The sequence below is a fragment of the Homo sapiens genome, chromosome X (genome assembly GCF_000001405.40).
Source record: "Homo sapiens chromosome X, GRCh38.p14 Primary Assembly".
NCBI classification, from domain to species: Eukaryota; Metazoa; Chordata; class Mammalia; order Primates; family Hominidae; genus Homo; species Homo sapiens.
In genome coordinates, this window is record NC_000023.11 from 70,724,927 (window position 1) to 70,749,357 (window position 24,431).

At 38.0% G+C, this 24,431-nt stretch overlaps 1 protein-coding gene across 4 annotated transcripts in view; it reads right to left on the bottom strand.

Moving 5' to 3' along the window:
- The window catches only part of TEX11 (testis expressed 11), a 397,485-nt gene that overhangs the window by 213,700 nt on the left and 159,354 nt on the right, over positions 1-24,431 (bottom strand). For all 4 annotated transcript variants that reach the window (XM_017029649.1, XM_011530994.2, NM_031276.3 and 1 more), the window contains 3 exons: positions 19,239-19,293; positions 15,775-15,870; positions 336-417 (listed from right to left, as the gene is read on the bottom strand). In XM_017029649.1, coding sequence (XP_016885138.1) covers positions 336-417; positions 15,775-15,870; positions 19,239-19,293 — 233 coding nt within the window. The remainder of the gene's footprint in view (positions 1-335; positions 418-15,774; positions 15,871-19,238; positions 19,294-24,431) is intronic.

A 24,431-nucleotide genomic window follows, 5' to 3' on the forward strand; every position in this document is an offset into this window, starting at 1 on the left:
AGGCTTTTCCCATTAATAGGTAATCTTTCTTTCTTCATGGTGGTAGACAACTTCAGAAGGGTTGGGTAGCTACAGTTCTCTGCTGGACTAAAAGAAAACTGATTGCTTTTATTCAGCTTTTTTTAAAAAAAAAAACACCTTTTAAATTTGCTACTATTTTTTCTTCTTTCTCTCTTTCTTCCTGGGTGACAATATTTTCCCTTTCCTGGGTGATCATTTTCCTTCTCAGCCACCATCAAATTACACCTATTGTTAGTATACTACAAAAGATCTTATATTTAACAAATTGTAGTGATGTTTCAAAATGGTGTGCTCTTCACATACAGAGATCATACCTTCAAGGAGTTCTTCATTAGATGTTTCGCCTTTCAAGAGGATTTTCATTTTTAAGAAAAGCCCAGGAGAACTTAAATGTTCCTATTTTAAACAAAGAAATCACAATGATATTAAAATTGTGGAATGTAAAAGACAATTTTCAAGTAATTGCCTGCTTTATTCAACCACCTTGGGATAACTCATAATCAAAGGAAATCGAAATTACAGAAGACCATATCATAACATTTGTTCTATCCCTGAGGATATTTCCCAATATTTTTTCAATCTAAATGAAATAATATATGGAAAAGAACATGTAAATATTTCCAATGAGTGACAAACATTTAATGACAAGATTAATACTTAAACTGTACAAATCTCAGGCCATATTCTTTGTAAGCAAAACCACAAACCGGCTAGTTTTATTTTCTTTTGAGATTTATTGACTAAGGTCCTTTGCAAACAATGGCGGAATAAAATAGAAAATGTATTGTCTTTTCCATAAGATATGCCTGTCGTGTTTACCATTAATAACAACGTTATTTCTAAATCATTGTTAGTTGGCCCTAAGCCATCTGTGATCTTCCCGGTTCCACTTTCGCCTGACAGGGTACATCTTTAAACAACTTTCTAAGACTAAAAGTACAGTCTAGGCCCACAGAACAGAACTTTTCTCTCTACAAAGCCAATTAACCCCTACATGAACACCGTACTGATTAGCTCCATACTCTGCACATAATTACAGGTATTCATATGTGAGATGTCTTAAAAATAGAAAGTTGGAGAAAGTAAGCACTGGTATTAAAAGGGCTTGCAAATATAGATGACACTAGTACAAAGAATAAACTGAAGTTGCCAATTTTGATTTATTGCATTACCATCTTTCCTGTAGGTTTGTTGAAGTATGTGTTGGATTCAATTCCCTTTTATCTTCAGAGACATAGAGGTCTTCCAGATCTTGGCAACATCTGTTTTCCTTGAGTCTGCTATTCTCACACAAATTTAACATTCTGGTTTTTTTCTACCAAACAATTCCAGATATGATTTTCACTGATTTCATTACCAAACAACCCCAGATAATGGACATTTTACTTCTGTTATCATCATGTCTTCACTTCTGTAAACATTTGCACCGTATATTGTCCATCCTTATTGTCTCTTAAAACTACACTTCCAGAAGTCATGAAGATTGCCTGCTAAATCCATCAGCTTTCTCCCTACTATCAAAATCCTTGTCTTCTCTGTAACTTTTCCCACTGTTATTTCTCATTCTTCATAGCTTTGTTTGTTTGTTTATTTATTTATTCATGATGGAGTCTCACTCTATCGCCCAGGCTGGAGTGTAGTGGCACAATCTCGGCTCACTGCAACCTCCGTCTCCCAGGTTCAAGCAATTCTCCTGCCTCAGCCTCCCGAGTAGCTGGGATTACAGGTACACTCTACCACATCTGGCTCATTTTTGTATTTTTAGTAGAGACGAGGTTTCACCATGTTGGCCAGACTGTTCTCGAACTCCTGACCTCAAGTGATCCACCTGCCTCAGCCTCCCAAAGTGCAGGGATTACAGGCATGAGCCACCAGGCCTGGCTGCTTTTTTTTTTTCATTATTTGAGACAGAGTCTCACTCTGTCTCCCAGGCTGGAGTGCAGTGGTACAAACACGGCTCACTGCAGCCTCCACTTCCTGGGCTCAAGCAATCCTCCTGTCTCAGCCTCCCAATGTGCTGGGATTATAGGCATGAACTACCATGCCTGGCTCCCTTCCTTAGATTTTTGTTTGCTGATTTTTTTCTTTTCACCAGTTACTGAGAAACAGGCTCCAGGTACAACAAACATACAAGATAAGTATTGTGAATCTTGTTTTGCAGGGCCAGATAAAGTTAAGTAACTTACCCATGGTCACACAACTGGTAAGTAGTAGAGCTGAAATTTGAATTCAGATCTCTCTGACTCTAAAGGACATAATCTTTCCATTACAATATGCTGCCTCCCTTGAAGCTCTGTCTATCATGGCAGGCATTACTACACTATCTGGATATTTTGCAAGCTCTAAAGATAATGTACTCATTTCTAGTGTGAAGTGTATCATACACATACACACATACACACACATGAGTATATAAACATATGTATATGCAATGTATATGTATAGTTTACAGAATAATAATAAAACAAACACCGGTGTCCTCACTACCAAGGTTAAGAAACAGATTATTGCCACATAAAAAGCCTCAAATGTATCCTTACCCATAGGCATCCTCCTCACCTCACAGAGGTAAACACCATCCTGAATTTTGTGCAGTAATTCCCTTGCTTTTCTTTATATATACACAATATACAGTTGCTATGGACCGAATGTTTGTGTCTTTCTAAAATTCATATATTGAATATCTAATCCCCAATGTGATGGTATTTTGAGGTGGGGGCTTTGGGAGGTAATTTGGTCATGAGGGCTGAGCCCTCATGAATGGGATAAGTGCCCTTATAAGAAAAGACATGAGAGAGATGAGAGATGATCTCTCTCTCTCTCTCTTTCTCTGCCAAATGAAGATATAGAAAGAAGGTGGCCATCTTCAAACCAAGACAAAGGCCCCCACCAGGAACCAAAAAGGCTGGTATTTTGATCTTGGACATCTCAGTCCCTAGAAGTGTGAGACATAAAGTTCTGTTGCTTAAGCCACCCAGTTTATAGTATTTAGTTATAACAGCTCAAGCTAGCCAACACAATTATTTAGTTTTGCCTACATTTGAACTTCACTTAAACAGAATCATAATGTATCTAAGTTCTTCTGTGATTCCTTTCATTCAAATCATGTTTTTTCAGATTCAACCATGTAGATATGTGAAACTTATTTGTTTTCATTACTATACAGCATGGCTGTCAAAGGGTGGTCCCTGAATCAGCACCATCTGGGAACTTGTAAGAAATGCAAGCCATGGGTTGGAGCCAAGATGGCTGAATAGGAACAGCTCCAGTCTACAGCTCCCAGTGTGAGCAACACAGAAGACAGGTGATTTCTGCATTTCCAACTGAGGTACTGGGTGCATCTCACTGGGGAGTGTTGGATAGTGGGTGCAGGACAGTGGGTGCAGTGCACTGAGCCTGAGCCGAAGCAGGGCGAGGCATCGCCTCACCAGGGAAGCACAAGGGGTCAGGGAATTCCCTTTCCTAGTCAAAGAAAGGAGTGACAGATGGCACCTGGAAAATCAGGTCACTCCCACCATAATACTGCGCACTTCCAACGGTCTTAGCAAACAAAACACCAGGAAATTAAATCCCACCCCTGGCTTGGAGGGTCCTACGCCCACAGAGCCTCGCTCATTGCTAGCACAGCAGTCTGAGATCAAACTGCAAGGCAGCAGCGAGGCTGGGGGAGGGGCGCCCACCATTGCCGAGGCCTGAGTAGGTAAACAAAGAGGCTGGGAAGCTCGAACTGGGTGGAGCCCACTGCAGCTCAAGGAGGCCTGCCTGCCTCTGTAGACTCCACCTCTGGGGGCAGGGCATAGCCAAACAAAAGGCAGCAAAAACTTCTGCAGACTTAACTGTCCCTGTCTGACAGCTTTGAAGACAGTAGTGGTTCTCCCAGCACGCAGCTTGAGATCTGAGAATGGACAGACTGCCTCCTGAAGTGGGTCCCTGACCCCCGAGTAGCCTAACTGGGAGGCACCCCCCAGGAGGGGCAGACTGACACCTCACACGGCCGGGTACTCCTCTGAGACAAAACTTCCAGAGGAACGATCAGGCAGCAACATTTGCTGTTCACCAATATCCGCTGTTCTGCAGCCTCCGCTCTGATACCCAGGCAAACAGGGTCTGGAGTGGACCTCTGGCAAACTCCAATGCACCTGCAGCTGAGGGTCCTGACTGTTAGAAGGAAAACTAACAAACAGAAAGGACATGCACACCAAAACCCCATCTGTTTGTCACCATCATCAAAGACCAAAGGTAGATAAAACCACAAAGATGGGGAAAAAACAGAGCAGAAAAACTGGAAATTCTAAAAATCAGAGCACCTCTCCTCTTCCAAAGGAGCGCAGCTCCTTACCAGCAACAGAACAAAGCTGGATGGAGAATGACTTTGACGAGTTGAGAGAAGGCTTCAGACGATTAAACTACGCCAAGCTAAAGGAGGAAGTTCGAACCCACGGCAAAGAAGTTAAAAACCTTGAAAAAAAATTAGACGAATGGCTAACTAGAATAACCAATACAGAGAAGTCCTTAAAGGACCTGATGGAGCTGAAAACCACAGCACAAGAACTACGTGATGAATGCACAAGCTTCAGTAGCGGATTCGATCAACTGGAAAAAAGGGTATCAGTGATGGAAGATCAAATGAATGAAATGAAGCGAGAAGAGAAGTTTAGAGAAAAAAGAATAAAAAGAAATGAAAAAAGCCTCCAAGAAATATGGGACTATGTGAAAAGACCAAATCTGCGTCTGATTGGTGTACCTGAAAGTGACAGGGAGAATGGAACCAAGTTGCAAAACACTCTGCAGGATACTATCCAGGAGAACTTCCCCAATCTAGCAAGGCAGGCCAGCATTCAGATTCAGGAAATACAGAGAACGCCACAAAGATATGCCTCGAGAAGAGCAACTCCAAGACACATAATTGTCAGATTCACCAAAGTTGAAATGAAGGAAAAAATGTTACGGGCAGCCAGACAGAAAGGTCGGGTTACCCACAAGGGGAAGTCCATCAGACTAACAGCTGATCTCTCGGCAGAAACTCTACAAGCCAGAAGAGAGTGGGGGCCAATATTCAACATTCTTAAAGAAAAGAATTTTCAACCCAAATTTCACGTCCAGCCAAACTAAGCTTCATAAGTGAAGGAGAAATAAAATCCTTTACAGATAAGCAAATGCTGAGAGATTCTGTCACCACCAGGCCTGCCCTAAAAGAGCTCCTGAAAGAAGCACTAAACATGGAAAGGAACAACCGGTACAAGACACTGCAAAAACATGCCAAATTGTAAAGACCATCAAGGCTGAACTGCATCAACTAACGGGCAAAATAACCAGCTAACATCACAATGACAGGATCAAATTCACGCATAACAACATTAACCTTACATGTTAATGCGCTAAATGCTCCAATTAAAAGACACAGACTGGCAAATTGGATAAAGAGTCAAGACCCATCAGTGTGCTGTATTCAGGAAACCCATCTCACGTGCAGAGACACACATAGGCTCAAAATAAAGGGATGGAGGAAGATCTACCAAGCAAATGGAAAACAAACAAAGGCAGGGGTTGCAATCTTACTCTCTGATAATACAGACTTTAAACCAACAAAGATCAAAAGAGACAAAGAAGGCCATTACATAATGGTAAAAGGATCAGTTCAACAAGAAGAGCTAACTATCCTAAATATATATGCACCCAATACAGAAGCACCCAGATTCATAAAGCAAGTCCTTAGAGACCTACAAAGAGACGTAGACTCCCACACAATAATAATGGGAGACTTTAACACCCCACTGTCAACATTAGACAGATCAACACGACAGAAAGTTAACAAGGATATCCAGGAACTGAACTCAGCTCTGCACCAAGCGGACCTAATAGACATCTACAGAACTCTCCAACCCAAATCAACAGAATATACATTCTTTTCTGCACCACACCACACCTATTCCAAAATTGACCACATACTTGGAAGTAAAGCACTCCTCAGCAAATGTAAAACAACAGAAATTATAACAAACAGTCTCTCAGACCACAGTGCAATCAAACTAGAACTCAGGATTAAGAAACTCACTCAAAACCGCTCAACTACATGGAAACTGAACAACCTGCTCCTGAATGACTACTGGGTACATAACAAAATAAAGACAGAAATAAAGACGTTCTCTGAAACCAATGAGAACAAAGACGCAACATACCAGAATCTCTGGGACACATTCAAAGCAGTGTGTAGAGGGAAATTTATAGCACTAAATGCCCACAAGAGAAAGCAGGAAAGATCCAAAATTGACACCCTAGCATCACAATTAAAAGAATTACAGAAGCAAGAGCAAACACATGCAAAAGCTAACAGAAGGCAAGAAATAACTAAGATCAGAGCAGAACTGAAGGAAATAGAGACACAAAAAAGCCTTCAAAAACTCAATGAATCCAGGAGCTGGTTTTTTGAAAAGATCAACAAAATTGATAGACCGCTAGCAAGACTAATAAAGAAGAAAAGAGAGAAGAATCAAATAGACGCAATAAAAAATGATAAAGGGGATATCACCACTGATCCCACAGAAATACAAACTACCATCAGAGAATACTATAAACACCTCCACGCAAATAAACTAGAAAATCTAGAAGAAATGGATAAATTCCTCGATACATACACCCTCCCAAGACTAAACCAGGAAGAAGTTGAACCTCTGAATAGACCAATAACAGGCTCTAAAATTGAGGCAATAATCAATAGCTTACCAACCAAAAAAAGTCCAGGACCAGATGGATTCACAGCCGAATTCTACCAGAGGTACAAGGAGGAGCTGGTACCATTCCTTCTGAAACTATTCCAATCATAGAAAAAGAGAGAATCCTCCCTAACTCATTTTATGAGGCCAGCATCATCCTGATACCAAAGCCGGGCAGAGACACAACCAAAAAAGAGAATTTTAGACCAATATCCCTGATGAACATTGATGCAAAAAACCTCAATAAAATACTGGCAAATTGAATTCAGCAGCACATCAAAAAGCTTATCCACCATGATCAAGTGGACTTCATCCCTGGGATGCGAGGCTGGTTCAACATGTGCAAATCAATAAATGTAATCCAGCATATAAACAGAACCAATGACAAAAACCACATGATTATCTCAATAGATGCAGAAAAGGCCTTTGACAAAATTCAACAACCCTTCATGCTAAAAACTCTGAATAAATTAGGTATTGATGGGATGTATCTCAAAATAATAAGAGCTATCTATGACAAACCCACAGCCTATATCATACTGAATGGGCAAAAACTGGAAGCATTCCCTTTGAAAACTGGCACAAGACAGGGATGCCCTCTCTCACCACTCCTATTCAACATAGTGTTGGAAGTTCTGGCCGGGGCAATCAGGCAGAAGGAAATAAAGGGTATTCAATTAGGAAAAGAGGAAGTCAAATTGTCCCTGTTTGCAGATGACATGATTGTATATCTAGAAAACCCCATCGTCTCAGCCCAAAATCTCCTTAAGCTGATAAGCAACTTCAGCAAAGTCTCAGGACACAAAGTCAATGAGCAAAAATCACAAGCATTCTTATACACCAAAAACAGTCAAACAGAGAGCCAAATCATGAGTGAACTCCCATTCACAGTTGCTTCAAAGAGAATAAAATACCTAGGAATCCAACTTACAAAAGACATGAAGGACCTCTTCAAGAAGAAGTACAAACCACTGCTCAATGAAATAAAAGAGGATACAAACAAATGGAAGAACATTCCATGCTCATGGGTAGGAAGAATCAATATCATGAAAATGGCCATACTGCTCAAGGTAATTTATAGATTCAATGCCATCCCCATCAAGCTACCAATGACTTTCTTCACAGAATTGGAAAAAACTACTTTAAAGTTCCTATGGAACCAAAATAGGGCCTGCATTGCTAAGACAATCCTAAGCCAAAAGAACAAAGCTGGAAGCATCACGCTACCTGACTTCAAACTATACTACAAGGCTACAGTAACCAAAACAGCATAGTACTGGTACCAAAACAGAGATACAGACAAATGGAACAGAACAGAGCCCTCAGAAATAATGCCACACATCTACAACTATCTGACCTTTGACAAATCTGACAAAAACAAGCAATGGGGAAAGGATTCCCAATTTAATAAATGGTGCTGGGAAAACTGGCTAGCCATATGTAGAAAGCTGAAACTGGATCCCTTCCTTACACTTTATACTAAAATTAATTGAAGATGGATTAAAGACTTAAATGTTAGACCTAAAACCATAAAAACCCTAGAAGAAAACTTAGGCAATACCATTCAGGACATAGGCATGGGCAAGGACTTCATGTCTAAAACACCAAAAGCAATGGCAACAAAAGACAAAATTGACAAATGGGATCTAATTAAACTAAAGAGCTTCTGCACAGCAAAAGAAACTATCATGAGGGTGAACAGGCGACCTACAAAATGGGAGAAAATTTTTGCAATCTACTCATCTGACAAAGGGCTAATATCCAGAATCTACAATGAACTGAAACAAATTTACAGGAAGAAAACAAACAACCCCATCAACAAGTTGGTGAAGGATATGAACAGACACTTCTCAAAAGAAGACATTTATACAGCCAAAAAAAACACATGAAAAAATGCTCATCATCATTGGCCATCAGAGAAATGCAAATCAAAACCACAGTGAGATACCATCTCACACCAGTTAGAATGGCATCATTAAAAAGTCAGGAAACAACAGGTGCTGGTGAGGATGTGAAAAAATAGGAACACTTTTACACTACTGGTCGGACTGTAAACTAGTTCAACCATTGTGGAAGTCAGTGTGGCGATTCCTCAGGGATCTAGAACTAGAAATACCATTTGACCCAGCCATCCCATTACTGGGTATATACCCAAAGGACTATAAATCATGCTGCTATAAAGACATACGCACACGTATGTTTATTGCGGCACTATTCACAATAGCAAAGACTTGGAACCAACCCAAATGTCCAACAGTGATAGACTGGATTAAGAAAAAGTGGCACATACACACCATGGAATACTATGCAGCCATAAAAAATGATGAGTTCATGTCCCTTGTGGGGACATGGATGAAGCTGGAAACCATCATTCTCAGCAAACTATCGCAAGGACAAAAAACCAAACACCGCATGTTCTCACTCATAGGTGGGAATTGAACAATGAGAACACATGGACACAGGAAGGGGAACATCACAACCAGGGCCTGTTGTGGGTTGGGGGGAGTGGGGAGGGATAGCATTAGGAGATATACCTAATGTTAAATGACGAGTTAATGGGTGTAGCACACCAACATGGCACAAGTATACATATGTAACATACCTGCACGTCGTGCACATGTACCCTAAAACTTAAAGTATAATTTAAAAAAAAAGAAAAAAAAAGAAATTCAAGCCCCATCCAAAACCTACTAAATGAGAAACTCTGGGAGTATTGCCTAGCAAATTGTATGTGCATGTGTGGGGGAAAATGTGTAAAATAATTATTATTGATTTGCATTATGGAAAGTTTCCAATTCAACATAAATTCTATTATCTGTTTAGTAAGGTAACAAATGAGCAAACTGTGTTTAACAGACACTCTAGGTAATACTTACACAAGCTAAATATTAAGAACAACTGTTGTATAGTACTCTGTTTTATGAATAATTCACACTTTATTTGCACATTCTACTTTGGATATTTAAGCTGTTTCCAACGCAATTGCTATTATGAACAATCCTGGAATCAGCATTCTGTATACCTCTCCTTGTATACAAATGCTAGCGCTTCACTACCTAGGAGTGAAGTTGCTGGGTGGTCCAGTATGATCAAATTTTATTTTATCAAGTAACTTCAAACTGTTTTTTAACGTGGTTGTACAATTCTCAAAAAACTAGGAATGAAGGGAGCTTCCTCAACCTGACAAAGGGCATCTATACTAAACCCACAGCTAACACCATACTTAATGGCAAAATACTGAAAGCTCTCTAAGATTAGGGAAAGATACTGCTCTTGCCAATTCTATTTAACATAGTAATGAATGTTCTTGCTAGAAAAATTAGAAAAGAAAAAGAGACAAAAGGCACGCAGATTGGAAAGCAAGAAGTAAAACTATCTTTATTTACAAAAAATATGATTTTTTTTTTTTGAGACGGAGTTTTGCTCTTGTTGTCCAGGCTGGAGTGCAATGGCACAATCTTGGCTCACTGCAACCTCTCCCTTCTGGATTCAAGTGATTCTCCTGCCTCAGCTTCCCAAATAGCTGGGATTACAGGCATGCACCACCATGTCTGGTTAATTTTGTATTTTTAGTAGAGATGGGGTTTCACCATGTTGGCCGGGTTGGTCTCGAACTCCTGACCTCAAGTGATCCACCCACCTCAGCCTCCCAAAGTACTGGGATTACAGGTGTGAGCCACAGCGTCCGGCCAGAAAATATGATCTTGTATACAGAAAATCCTAAGTAATCCATTAAAAAACTATTAAAGCTAAAAGAACAAGTACAGGAAGATTGTAGGATATAATATCAGTATTTTTTCAATTAATGGCATTTCTATATACTAGCAATGAACAATCCAAAAGTCAAGAAAATAATTCCATTTATAAAAGCATAAAGAAGCAATAAATTTAACAAAAGAAGGACAAAACTTATTTATTGAAAACTACAAAACAATGAATAAATGTTCCTGGATTTGAAAACTTAATATTGTTAAGATAGCAATAATTCCCAAATTGATCTGCAGATTCAACAAATTCCCTACCAAATTCCCAGCTGTCTTCTTTGCAGAAATCAACAAGCTGATTCCAAAATATGAAAATGCAAGAGATTCAGAAGAGCCAAAACAATTCTGAAATAAAAACAAGTCGGAGGGCCATACCAGTGGATGTAAAGTGGTTTCTCATTGTGCTTCTAATTTGCATTCCCTGATAACTAATGATATTGAGTATCTTTTTGTGTACTTATTGGCCACTGGTACGTATTATTTGGAGAATGTCTATTGAGCTCCTTTGCCTCCTTAGCCCATTTTCAATTGGGTTGTTTGTCTTCTTATTGAATAGTAAGAGTTCTTTTTTATATTATGGTTAATAGACAACAGATATATGATTTGCAAATATGTTCTCCCATTCTGTTGGGAGGATCCTATGGATTGTGTCTTCATTTTCTTGATGATTTCCTTTGAAGCAAAAAAATTAATTTTAATGAGACTTAATTTTACCTAATTGTTCTTTTTTGCTTGTGCTTTTGGTGTAGTATCTAAGCACCTATGCCTTTTATATTTATTTCATTGCACTAATACATTTTCAAAGGTAATTTTGTGAAACAACATAGGCATACCAAATTTTAATTTCTCCTTTAAAAATTTACTATCAGATTCAGTTCCAGCAGATATGAAGCAAGACAACTAAGCCTATACCTTCTACTAATTACAACTAAGAACTCTGAACAAGATATAAAAAGCAACAACCTGAGGACTCTTAAAAGTAAACAAAAACAAAGATTGTAGTGAGGCAACAAAACTTGGAGAAGTGAACCATATGGAGGTGGTAAGTTTCCTGAGTTTTTTTCTTTTATCTAATGGCATAGGAAGTTTGTCTTCTAGCTAAGCTCTGAGTGAGGCAAAAAAAAAAAAAAAGTTTGTGTAGATAAGTTTTTTGGTTTGGATAATTTTTTAATGGGCTCTGCCTTCATGTAGATACAGAGTTCAAATTTACATTACTCATGTGGTCCAAAAACCTCCAATCTGAGAAAGTAAAATAAAAGTAACCAAAAGAGTGGTAACTCTTTTACATCTGGCTGATGCCAATAAAAAGTTTCTCTGCAGGGCCATGCTCTCAATCCAGGTTGAATAGGATTCTAAAAACTTAACACTCACTGAACATAAATTAACATATCCATAATTACAAAACAAAGAAGGAAATATTTCATACTAAGCAAGAGTCAGGAGTTCACATGAACAGCGGGATCAAATCGTTTCCAAATAACTTGCCTGTTTCCCATAATAAAGCTCAATAAGATTTATAGTATTACAAAAATATCCAGCAGCCAACGATGTAAAATAGTTGGCACCCAGTGAAAGACAGAGCAGGCAAAAACAATCAATAATGGGGAGATAATAGATGGAAACTAATCTAGAAGTGACATAGATATTAGAATTATCAAAGAAAGACATTAAAAGAGTAAGTATAACTGTATTTCGTATGCTCAAAAATTTAACTAGAGACTTGGAAGATATAAAAATAAACCAAATCAAACTTTTAGAGATAAAAACTACAAAGTCTGAAATGAAAAATATATGGGATGAGATTAACAGATGATTAGACATTGCAGAAGAAAGATTAATGAACTTAAAAGTAATAGCAATACAAAACAGTCCAAAATGAAACAAAAATAACAAATTATGTTTTAAGTGAAAAGAGTATAAGCAAACTATGGCACAACTTCAGGCAGCCTAATACATGGTTAATTAGAGTACTTGGGGGAAAGCAGAAAAAAAATTTGAAGAAATACTGGAACTTTTCAAACATAATGAAAATTATGCTCCTAGACATCCAAAAAATCACAAAGAGCCCCAAGCACGAGAAACGTAAATAAAATTACTTAAAAGCATAACATCAAGTTGCTCAAAACCAATGATAAAAAATCCAAAACTTATTCAGAAAAGAAGACACGCTATATAAAAAAGAACAAACATAAGAATGGCACCATATTTCTCAACAGAAACAACAGAATGAGAATACAGTGGAATGAAATATTTAAAATACCCCCCCCCCAAAAAAAGCTGTCTGGTTTAAATTCTATACCTGGAAAAAATATCATTCAAAAAACAAAGGTGAACCTAACACTCATAATGATGTCTATTATTAAAAAATAGAAGATAACAAGTGCTGCTGAAGACGTGAAGAAATTGCAACCCTTGTGCACTATAGATGGGAATTTAAAATGATACAGTTGCTAAGAAAAATAGTATGGCTGATATGCAGAAAACAGAAACTGGACCCCTTCCTTACACTTTATACAAAAATTAACTCAAAATGGATTAAAGACTTAAATGTAAAACCAAAACAATAAAAACCCTAGAAGAAAACTTAGGCAATACCATTCAGGACATAGGCATAGGCAAAGACTTCATGTCTAAAACACCAAAAGCAATTCCAACAAAAGCCAAAATTGACAAATGGGATCTAATTAAACTAAAGAGCTTCTGCAGGGCAAAAGAAATTATCTTCAGAGTGAACAGGCAATCTACAGAATGGGAGAAAATTTTTACAATCTACCCATCTAACAAAAGTTTAATATCCAGAATCTACAAGGAACTTAAACAAATTTATAAGAAAAAAACAAACAACCCCATCAAAAAGTGGGCAAAGGATATAAACAGACACTTCTCAAAAGAAGACATTTATGCGGCCAACAAACATGAAAAAAAGCTCATCATCACTGGTCATTAAAGAAATGCAAATCAAAACCACAATGAGATAACATCTCACGACAGTTAAAATGACAATTATTAAAAAGTCAGGAAACAACAGATGCTGGTAAGGTTGTGGAGAAATAGGAACGCTCTTACACTTTTGGTGGTAGTGTAAATTAGTTCAACCATTGTAAAAGACAGTGTGGTGATTCCTCAAGGATCTAGAACCAGAAATACCATTTGTCCCAGCAATCCCATTACTGGGTATATACCCGAAGGATTATAAGTCATTCTGCTGTAAAGACACAGGTACACGTATATTTATTGCAGCACTATTTACAATAGCAAGGACTTGGAACCAACCCAAATACCCATCAATGATAGACTGGATAAAGAAAATGTGGCACATATACAGCATGGAATACTATGCAGCCATAAAAAAGAATGAGTTCATGTCCTTTGCAGGGACATGGATGAAGCTGGAAACCATCATTCTCAGCAAACTAACACAGGAACAGAAAACCAAACACCACATGTTCTCACTCATAAGTGGGAGTAGAACAATGAGAACACATGGACACAGGGAGGGGAACATCCACACACTAGGGCCTGTTAGGGGGTGGGAGGCACGGGGAGGGAGAGGATTAGGACAAATACCTAATGCAGGCAAGGGCTTAAAACCTAGGTGACGGGTTGATAGGTGCAGCAAACCACCATGGCACATGTATACCTATGTAACAAACCTGCACATTCTGCACATGTATCCTAGAACTTAAAGTAAAATTTAAAAAAAGAAAATATTCCTGTCTATAAATATTTCTACATTAATTTTTTAATTTTAATGTTGAACAAGTTTTTCAGCATTAAATAACCCCATCCACATAACATAAATTTCAGGAAAATATAGTTCAAGTAAATGCTCTGTTTGACAAATTTAACATTCTGGTTGATCGAGCTATTCATTTTCATGCTTCCACTCTGTTGAAAAAAACCTTTCTAAAGTGTATCAGTATATTTAATTGCCTTATTAAGTAAAACACATTGATCCTAATTGAATCTCTCTTATTTTATTTCATTTCTTTTTTTTTTTTTTTTTGAGACGGAGACTTGCTCTGTCACCAGGCTGGAATGCAGTGGTGCGATCTCGGCTCACTGCAACCTCTGCCTCCTGGGTTCAAGCGATTCTCCTGCCTCAGCCTCCCGAGTAGCTGGGACTGCAGGCACATGCCACCACACCTGGCTAACTTTTGTATTTTTAGTAAAGATGGGGTTTCACCATGTTGACCAGGATGGTTTCGATCTCTTGACCTTGTGATCTGCCTGCCTCAGCCTCCCAAAGTGCTGGGATTACAGGCATGAGCCACCGCACCCAGCCTGAATCTATTTTTAAAGGGTCACCAGCCTTTCAGTGTTCCTTGTCCAGGAGTGTAGATATATACACATTTTGTTTTGTTTGTTTTAGAGATGGGGTCTTGCTATTATGTTGCCCAGGCTGAAGTGCAGTGACTATTCATAGATGCAATCATAGTGCACTGCAGCCTTGAACTCCTGGCCTCAAGCAAATCTCCCACATTGGCCTCCTGAGCAACTGGAAATACAGGCATGTGTCACCACGCCCGCTTTGTATTCATGTTTTTAGGTATGTGTGAACATGAGCTGAAAGTCAACCACTGGAGTTGTTTTTAAAATTAAATCCCATTATTCTGCGTATTTTATCATTTACTTCTTCATCCTAAAAACTCACAGTAGAGACATCCCTTTCTGTTTCACAGAAAAGAAAATTTTCTCAAAAATCTCTGGTGTTCAAAGAAGTATATTTGTTTTAGTCTGTTCATGCTGCTATAACAAAATACCATAAACTAGATACTTTACAAACAACAGATATTGATTTCTCACAGTTCTGAAGGCTGGGAACTCCAACATCAAGGTGCTCGCAGATTCGGTGTCTGGTGAGGGCCTGCTTACTCAAAGACAGTGCCTTCTCATGTCCTCACATGATAAAAGGGGTGAACAAACTCCTGTGGACCTCTTTTATAAGGGCAGTAATACCATTCAAGAGGGGTTTGCCCAATGACTTTATCATCTCCCAAAGTCCCCACCTTTTTTATTTTTACGTCCATTCTACACCAAAAAGTCCCCACCTCTTAATATCATCACTTTGGGGGTTAAGATTTCAACATAGGAATTTGCGGGGACACAAACATTCAGATTATAGCAATATTTTATTTTTCCTTTCTGTGCTATAGAAGAGATTATAACAATCTGTGAGAGTAAATGCTGAAGCAAATGTCTAAACTGGATTTCAAAATGTGATCAAGACTTCAAAAAATACATTAAGTTAGTATTCAAAAATACAAGCCCCATACCTTGTTTGCTAGGTTTACAGCATTGAGAGCCTTATCATAATATTTGGTGTCATCCCAATCCAAATAATTCGTGGCTAATAGCCGTAGAACTTTAGCCTGTAAGAAAAAAAAAAAGAAAAAAAGCACATATCTGATGGTTAAACTTCAATACAACAGCTGACTAGCACTCCCACAGTGACAGGCATCTTCTCAAACATAAGTCATCTTTATGAAATAGCATTTCCTTAAGCGACCACAGTCTTGGAATATGTCTCATCATTATGCTACCCATATAAAATATTGTCTAAGAATGTTACAGTAATGGCTATATTCCTGGCTTATTTACATTTAATATAATTATGTTAATATAATTATTTTCTTAACAGTATTTAACGTATTTTATCATCCCCCCTTTTAAAATAAGGAAACTGAGGCAGAGCAATATTTCATTTAATCAGCTTACCACCACATTATTATCGTGGAACAACTCTAAGAATTTATAAGCTCCCCCAAATGACTTTTATGGAGTAAATATGGCATTTCTGAGAAATACTGTAGCTATTTCATAACAGTGAAAGTGTCAAATCATCCAAAAGACGTAACAAAATGAACGAATCTCACAATGTATGTTTTAAAAAAGCCAGACATAAAACAGGACAACTGTATGATTCCATTTATACAAAGCTCAAAAACAGTCAAAAATAATCTAGAGTAGTAAAAGTCAGAATGGTGTTTTTTTGTTCTTGGAAGTAGAGGTGGGTATTAACTAGAATGGGGCCAAGGGAACTTTTGGGGGTGTTGGGAAGTTTTTGTATCTTGATCTGTATGGTGTAATATACAAGACTACTATATATTAAAACTCATCAAGCTGTACACTTGAGACTTGTGAAGTTTACTGTATATAAATTACACCTCAAATAAATGACTGCTGGCATGAAATAAAAAATTACTGCATAGTATTACCTCACTAAACTTACAATATGGAATATGAATATTCCATTTTAATCAAGCTTGTATCCTATCTTCCATCCTTATTTCCTTCTTAGACATCTCCCATCTAGATCCCTTGCCTGGAGTCATTTTCTTCCTCCCTTTTAACTGTGTGGACCCCAAAAAGGCCTGTCTCCTACCAAAAGGCTCCTACAACTACTCTAGCTAATCTTGATAATCTCCTTTTCTATATGCCCTTCTGCATACTTCAGGTCAGTACCACAAAGTTTATCATTATCTTCCCAAATTGTTTCACTTCTAGTAGTGTTTTTTAAATTCTATTTTTCTTCATTGAAGTATAAAAGACTTACAGAAAAGTATAAAAATCTCAAGAGCTCTATGCTCTTATGAATTCTAGGCTCTACGAATTTTCCCAAAGTAAACACATGTATGTTAACAACAAAAAAGTTAAGAAACAGAACATTAACAGCAACAAGCCCACTCATGCTTCTTTTCAGACCCTGTTTCAAATAGGGGTAACCAATTCCCTGATGTCCAACACCATATATTCATTTTGACTGTTCTTGGCATTTACATTTATGGAATCATACAGTAAGTACTACTTTGTATCTTGCTTCATTTGTTCAATATTATAGGTGAGAACATCCATATCGTTGCAATTATTATAGTTAATTGAGTCTCACTGTTATATAATAAGTGACAATGTCACTATATATAAATATAAATATTATATATTTATATATAAATAATTTATTTAATTGTGGTAAAATACACATAACATAAAATTGACCATCTTAAACTTTTTTTAAAATCTTAGGCCAGGTGCAGTGGCTCATGCCTGTAATCCTAGAACCTTGGGAGGCCAAGGTGGGAGGATCACTTGAGGCCAGGTGTTTGAGACCAGCCCAGGCAACAAAGTGAGACCCCCGTCTCTATAAAAAATTAAAAATTGGCCAGATGTGGTGGAGTGTACCTGTAGTCCCAGCTACTCAGTAGGTTAAGAAGGGAGGACTGCTTGAGCCCAGGAGTTTGAAGGTTACAGTGAGCTGATCACACCACTGCCCTCCAGCCTGGGTGACAAGACCCTGTCTCAAAAAAAAATTTTTTTTGGAGATGGAGTCTTACTATGTTGCCCAGATGGAATGCAGTGGCTATTCACAGGCATGATCACAGCTCATTGCAGCCTCAAACTCCTGGTTTCATGCAATCCTCCTGGCTTAGCCTCCTGAGTAGCTGGGACTACAGGTACACACCACTGCACCCGGCTCCATGACCATCTTAAACATTTTTAAGTGTACAGTTCAGTAGTATTAAGTATATTCACACTCTTGTGCAATCATTACCAGCATCCATCTCGAGAACTCTCTTACCTTGCAAAACTGAAACTCTATACCCACTAAACAATAGTTCCCAATTCTCCCCTCTCCCTACCCCCTAAAACCACCATTTTACTTTCTGTCTCTATGAATTTGACTACTCTACATACCTCACATAAGTGGAACCATACATTATCTGTCTTTTTGTGACTGGCTTGTTTCACTCAGCGTAGTCTCCTCACAGTTAACCCATGTTGTAGCATGTGTCAGATTTCTTTCTTTATTAAGCCAGGATAATATTTCATTGTAGTCACTTGTACTAGTTTTATCCTTTAATCATAAGTTCCTTAAGGGCAGAAGCTACATTTTATGCTTCTCTTTTATTCCCCATATATTACAGTGGTAAATACATTAAAAAGGTATCCAGTTACATTTTGATTAATATGCTGTAATAGTAAGAATCAAATGGATATTCAAAAGATTCCATTTTGCTATAGAATGTAGTAATTTTACATCACATTTATTTACACAATCACATTTTGCTTGATTACATATTAAGATTAATTTCCATATCCAAGCACGTTCTGTCTGGGCAGTTGGGGAAAAATCTGCAACTTCAAAATATGCAATAAGAAAAGTTAAAACTAGGCCAGGCACGGTAGCTCACTCCTGTAATCCCAGCACTTTGAGAGGCCAAGGTGGGCAAATCACCTGAGGTCAGGAGTTCCAGACCAGCCTGGCCAACATGGCAGAACCCCGTCTCTGCTAAAAACACAAAAATTATCCAGGTGTGGTGGCTCATGCCTGTAGTCCTAGCTACTTGGGAGGCTGAGGCACCAGAATCGCTTGAACCTGGGAGGCAGAGGTTGCAGTGATCCCACCACTGCATTCCAGCCTGGGCAACAGAGCGAGACTCTATCTCAAAACACACACACACACACACACACACACACACACACACACACACAGAAAAGAAAGTTAAAATTTACATACCCAAACATTGTTCAAAGCACTCTACATATATTAATTCATGGGTACATGCCTATGAGTTAGATTATATTATTATATAAATATACAAAAACAAATACACTGAGATGTTAAATGTTGTGCCCAATAGCTAATCTACTCATAAATGGGGAGTACGCTATTATAATTTTATAACAATAAAATAAAGCAGGTTATTCAACCTATTTCTACAATATTTAACATGATCCTTACCAGCATTTCTGGCCCAGTAGATTTCTTATCCATCTTCCCAATATCATAGCTTTGGCTATCATTAAAAAGGAAAAAAAATATATATATATATATAAACATATATCCATTTCAAATTATATATAATTTTCAAGATTATATATTACTAAGAAGACATGGTATAAGCATACTTTATTCCAACTTTTCTGTTTTGCACTACAACAGATTATTATCCATATGATATAATGATATAAAGCAATACTTTCTAACTGTAGAAAACAATTTCCTTAGGAGATACCCAATAAATCAACACTACAATTATATTGATGCCTTTTTCCATTTGGCTATATATATAGCATTGAATATATATAATATATACTGCACTAAATAGGTATAATTTAATATACTGCCTTAAATATATATAACTTAATATGCTACATTAAATATATATAATTTACTGCATTAAATTATTATAATACATACTGCATTAAAATACTTTACAAGTGTATACAAGCTCTTAGTTGGCCATTTAAAGTTGAAGGAATATAAATATATATTTATTTATTAATGATTTACTTAGTTATTTTCGAGATGGAGTCTCATTCTGTCACCCAGGCTGGAGTGCAGTGGCACGATCTTGACTCATTGCAACCTCCATCTCCCAAGTTCAAGCGATTCTCCTGCCTCAGCCTCCCAAGTAGCTAGGATTATAGGAACTCATCACCATGCGTGGCTAATTTTTTTTTTTTTTTGTATTTTTAGTAGAGATAGGGTTTCACCATGTTGGCCAGGTTGGTCTCGAACTCCGGAGCTCAAGTGATCCACCAGCCTCAGCCTCCCAAAGTGTTGGGCCCGACCCCGAATAAGTATAAATATATATTTAAAATAAAACAAATACAGTTGTTTTCACAGAAACAAACGCTTTAGCAATATTCATTAAGTCTCACACCACCCTTCTGAAGCACTATTAGCTCCATTTTGCGGCTGACTAAACCAATATAGAAATAAAATTATTTCTGATATTTCCTAGATTGGTATCGAAAATGAGGGTGAGGGGTTGGGGAGCAGAGAAATTTGATTTTCAGTTCTCTGCTTTAATTATCAAACCATATTATCTATGGGACATTCCAGTAACCACAAATAATATATTAATACTAGTTTCAAGGTTTCAAAACCTAATACCTACAAAGCAAATCAAAGATTATTCACCATAAAATTAGTATTCCAAGGGAGTATGTCAATAAAATGTTGGTGAACTGAACTAACTTGAAGACAATACTTTGAAATATTCCTTAAAAAAAAAAAAACTCTAGGCCAATGACAGTGGCTCACACCTGTAATTCCAGCACTTTGGGATCCTGAGGCGGTTGGATCACTTGAGGTCAGGAGTTTGAGACAAGCTTGGCCAACATGGTGAAACCCCGTCTCTACTAATAATACAAAAATTAGCCGGAGTGATGGCACATGCCTGTAATCTCAGCTACTTGGGAGACTGAGGCATGATTATCGCTTAAACCTAGGAGGTGGAGGTCGCAGTGAGCCAATACTGTGCCACTGCACTCCAGCCTGGGCGACAGAGTGAAACTGTGTCTCGAAATAAATAAATAAATATAAATAAACATAAACTATAAATGACCCAGAACTACCAAACTGAGTTTTCAGATTGCTAACAAAGATATAATGCTGGCTTAGTCATTGTAAGCCCTATTTCATAGAGGTCTCCTTTAGTACATTAACCTTATACTTCCACTTTTTTAAATAACCAGTGAGGGGTGGAACTTCTGCAATGGTGATATAAGGAGCTCTTTAGACACTCTCCCCAGCGAAACAACCACTCATCTGGAAAATTCATTAAAACAACCACTTAGTCTCTGAAAATTGAAATTGTCCTAAGGGCACACAGAAAATGGAAAACATTTATTCATGAAAATAAACTAAATCTCAGTATAACCAGTGAGAGTCTATGGCATTTGAACTATAAACTGCTCCCATCTATACTGGCTCCATGTGATGGAAGCTGCTCCAGATGGGTGCAGCCAAGAAGATAGGAATTCCCTCTCCCGCCAGCTCCTAAAATCCTAGGCTATGGTTTCACCTGCAGAGAAGCAGGCTGCCAGACTATCTTGCCATTCTCAGGCCTGTGTCATGGAAGTGTTCTGGGCAAGTACGATGGAGAGGACTGGCTTTTCTTTGCCCACTCAGCTCTCACTCTTAGGGTAAGGATTCTACCCCAAATGTGACAGGTCAAGAATACTGAGATCCTGATCATCTTTACTCCAGCTGGCTCATCAGGCAGAGGTTTCATGTCAAAAGGGCACACTAAGAAGACCAAGGGCTACCATACCGCCAGAATTTACTAATTTACTAATATGGTAGGGGTGCCATTTCAAGAGAAGCATGCCATGAGCCCAGCTCTAGTCGTGTGGCACAGAGGTTCTGACCAGAAAGAAAGAACAGAAGCAAAGAGGAAGAACTCTGCATCTCTTCCTGAGGGGAATGATGTATTTAAAACAGAGCATGGAGAAGATCATGTCTAAGGACACTGCTGAAAACAATGGAGATCTTGATAGTGAGCAATTAAGAGGGAGCTGGTAGCTCCATGATAATGGTAGCAATAAGGGAAACAGCAGACCAACCAGAAGGTTACCAGAGAATCAGGGAAACAGCCAAGAAGAAAACCTCTGGGGTCACACTTATCTCTAGGGGTCCAGAAGACTGTGCCCATGTGCCATTCTGCACCCACTCACGCACAATCAGAGAAAGTGTTGGGGCAAACTGAAAAGCATTACCCAAGGCATAAACAGATCTATCAGCAAAGTACCTTGAGCCTCATTGGCTCAAGGGGCTTAAGCAGATCGTCTGACCAAACACCAACTGAAAGGTAAGCTAAGATCCAGGGAACCCAGCTTAAAAATCAAATCGACCTCATACTGAGGGATCTGGGAGACTGTGCACATGCTCAAGACTGCTTTCTTGGGTATGAGCAGATAAAGAATCTACAAGCTATTAGTCCCCGACTGAATTAGTCTCTCCCAGAACTATAAAAGCAGTCTCTAAACAAACATACATCCAGGAAAGGATGAAAAAATCTAACTGGCTAAGTGAGCTTCAGCACAACCTTTAGCCAGTAAGTGAACTATGTGGATGCAGGGGTGACTCCATAAGAAGTCATGAAAAGATAAAAACAAGGGGAAAAATTCTGAGCAGGAATATTAGAGGCCACACAGTGTGTGGAAAATAAATTCCACCAAATTAGTCCAGCCAAGTGACTGAACAAATAAATGACTAAACAAACAATAAAAACAATAAGCCCCAGAAAGAGGAGAAACTGTATCTAGACTTGCTACAATATATTTTCCAAAATGTCTAGTGTTTAACAAAACATTGTAAGACATACAATTAAAAAGTGTGACCTACACAGAAGAAAAAAAGCAAAAGAAACTTCCTTTGAGGAGGCCCCAATGTTGCACTTAATAGAAAAAGACTTCAAAGCAACTTTTATAATTACGTCCAAAGAATTTTTTAAAATCGTGTTTAAAAATTAAAGGAAGGTCTGATAACAATGACTCATCATATGGAGAATATGAGTGTATCAGTTAAGAGATAGAAATTATTATTTTTTTATATATTTTTTATTATACTTTAAGTTCTAGGGTACATGTGCACAACCTGCAGGTTTGTTACAAATGTATACATGTGCCATGTTGGTGTGCTGCACCCACTAACTCGTTATTTACATTAGGTATATCTCCTAATGCTTATTATTTTTTAAAAAAGAAACAAATGGAAATTCTGGAGTTGAAAAGTACAATAACTGAAATGAAAAATTCAGCAGATTGGAGCAGGCAAAAGAAACAATAAACTAACCTGAAGAGCAATAGAAACGATACAAATCTGAGGAACAAACAGAAAAAAAAATGAAGAAAAATGAACATGGGCTCAGAAAAATGTAAGACACCATTAAGCACACCAACATATACATAATGGGAGTACCAGAAGAAAAGAAAGAAAAGGACAAATAAATATTCAAAGAAATGATGGTCTTAAAACTCTCCAAATTTGATGAAAAACAATAATCGACACATCCAAGAAGCTCAATGAAATTCAACAGGATAAGCATTAAAAAAGCTACATCCAGACACATGATGAGCGAAAATTATTGAACATCAAAGATGAAGAGAAAATCTTGAAAACAGTAAGAGAAAAATGACTCATCACATAAAGGGGAGTAACAATAAGATTAACAGCTGACACCCCTCAGAGTTCATGGAGTAAAGAAGGCAAAAAGGATGTATTCAAACATCTGTGAAATTTGTTGCCATTGCTTTTGGTGTTTTAGACATGAAGTCCTTGCCCATGCCTATGTCCTGAATGGTAATGCCTAGGTTTTCTTTAGGGTTTTTATGGTTTTAGGTCTAACATTTAAGTCTTTAATCCATCTTGAATTGATTTTTGTATAAGGTGTAAGGAAGGGATCCAGTTTCAGCTTTCTACATATGGCTAGCCAGTTTTCCCAGCACCATTTATTAAATAGGTAATCCTTTCCCCATTGCTTGTTTTTCTCAGGTTTGTCAAAGATCAGATAGTTGTAGATATGCGGCGTTATTTCTGAGGGCTCTGTTCTGTTCCATTGATCTATATCTCTGTTTTGGTACCAGTACCATGCTGTTTTGGTTACTGTAGCCTTGTAGTATAGTTTGAAGTCAGGTAGTGTGATGCCTCCAGCTTTGTTCTTTTGGCTTAGGATTGACTTGGCAATGCGGGCTCTTTTTTGGTTCCATATGAACTTTAAAGTAGTTTTTTCCAAATCTGTGAAGAAAGGCATTGGTAGCTTGATGGGGATGGCATTGAATCTGTAAATTACCTTGGGCAGTATGGCCATTTTCACGATATCGATTCTTCCTACCCATGAGCATGGAATGTTCTTCCATTTGTTTGTATCCTCTTTTATTTCATTGAGCAGTGGTTTGTAGTTCTCCTTGAAGAGGTCCTTCACATCCCTTGTAAGTTGGATTCCTAGGTATTTTATTCTCTTTGAAGCAATTTTCAATGGGAGTTCACTCATGATTTGGCTCTCTGTTTGTCTGTTGTTGGTGTATAAGAATGCTTGTGATTTTTGTACATTGATTTTGTATCCTGAGACTTTGCTGAAGTTGCTTATCAGCTTAAGGAGATTTTGGGCTGAGACGATGGGGTTTTCTAGATATACAATCATGT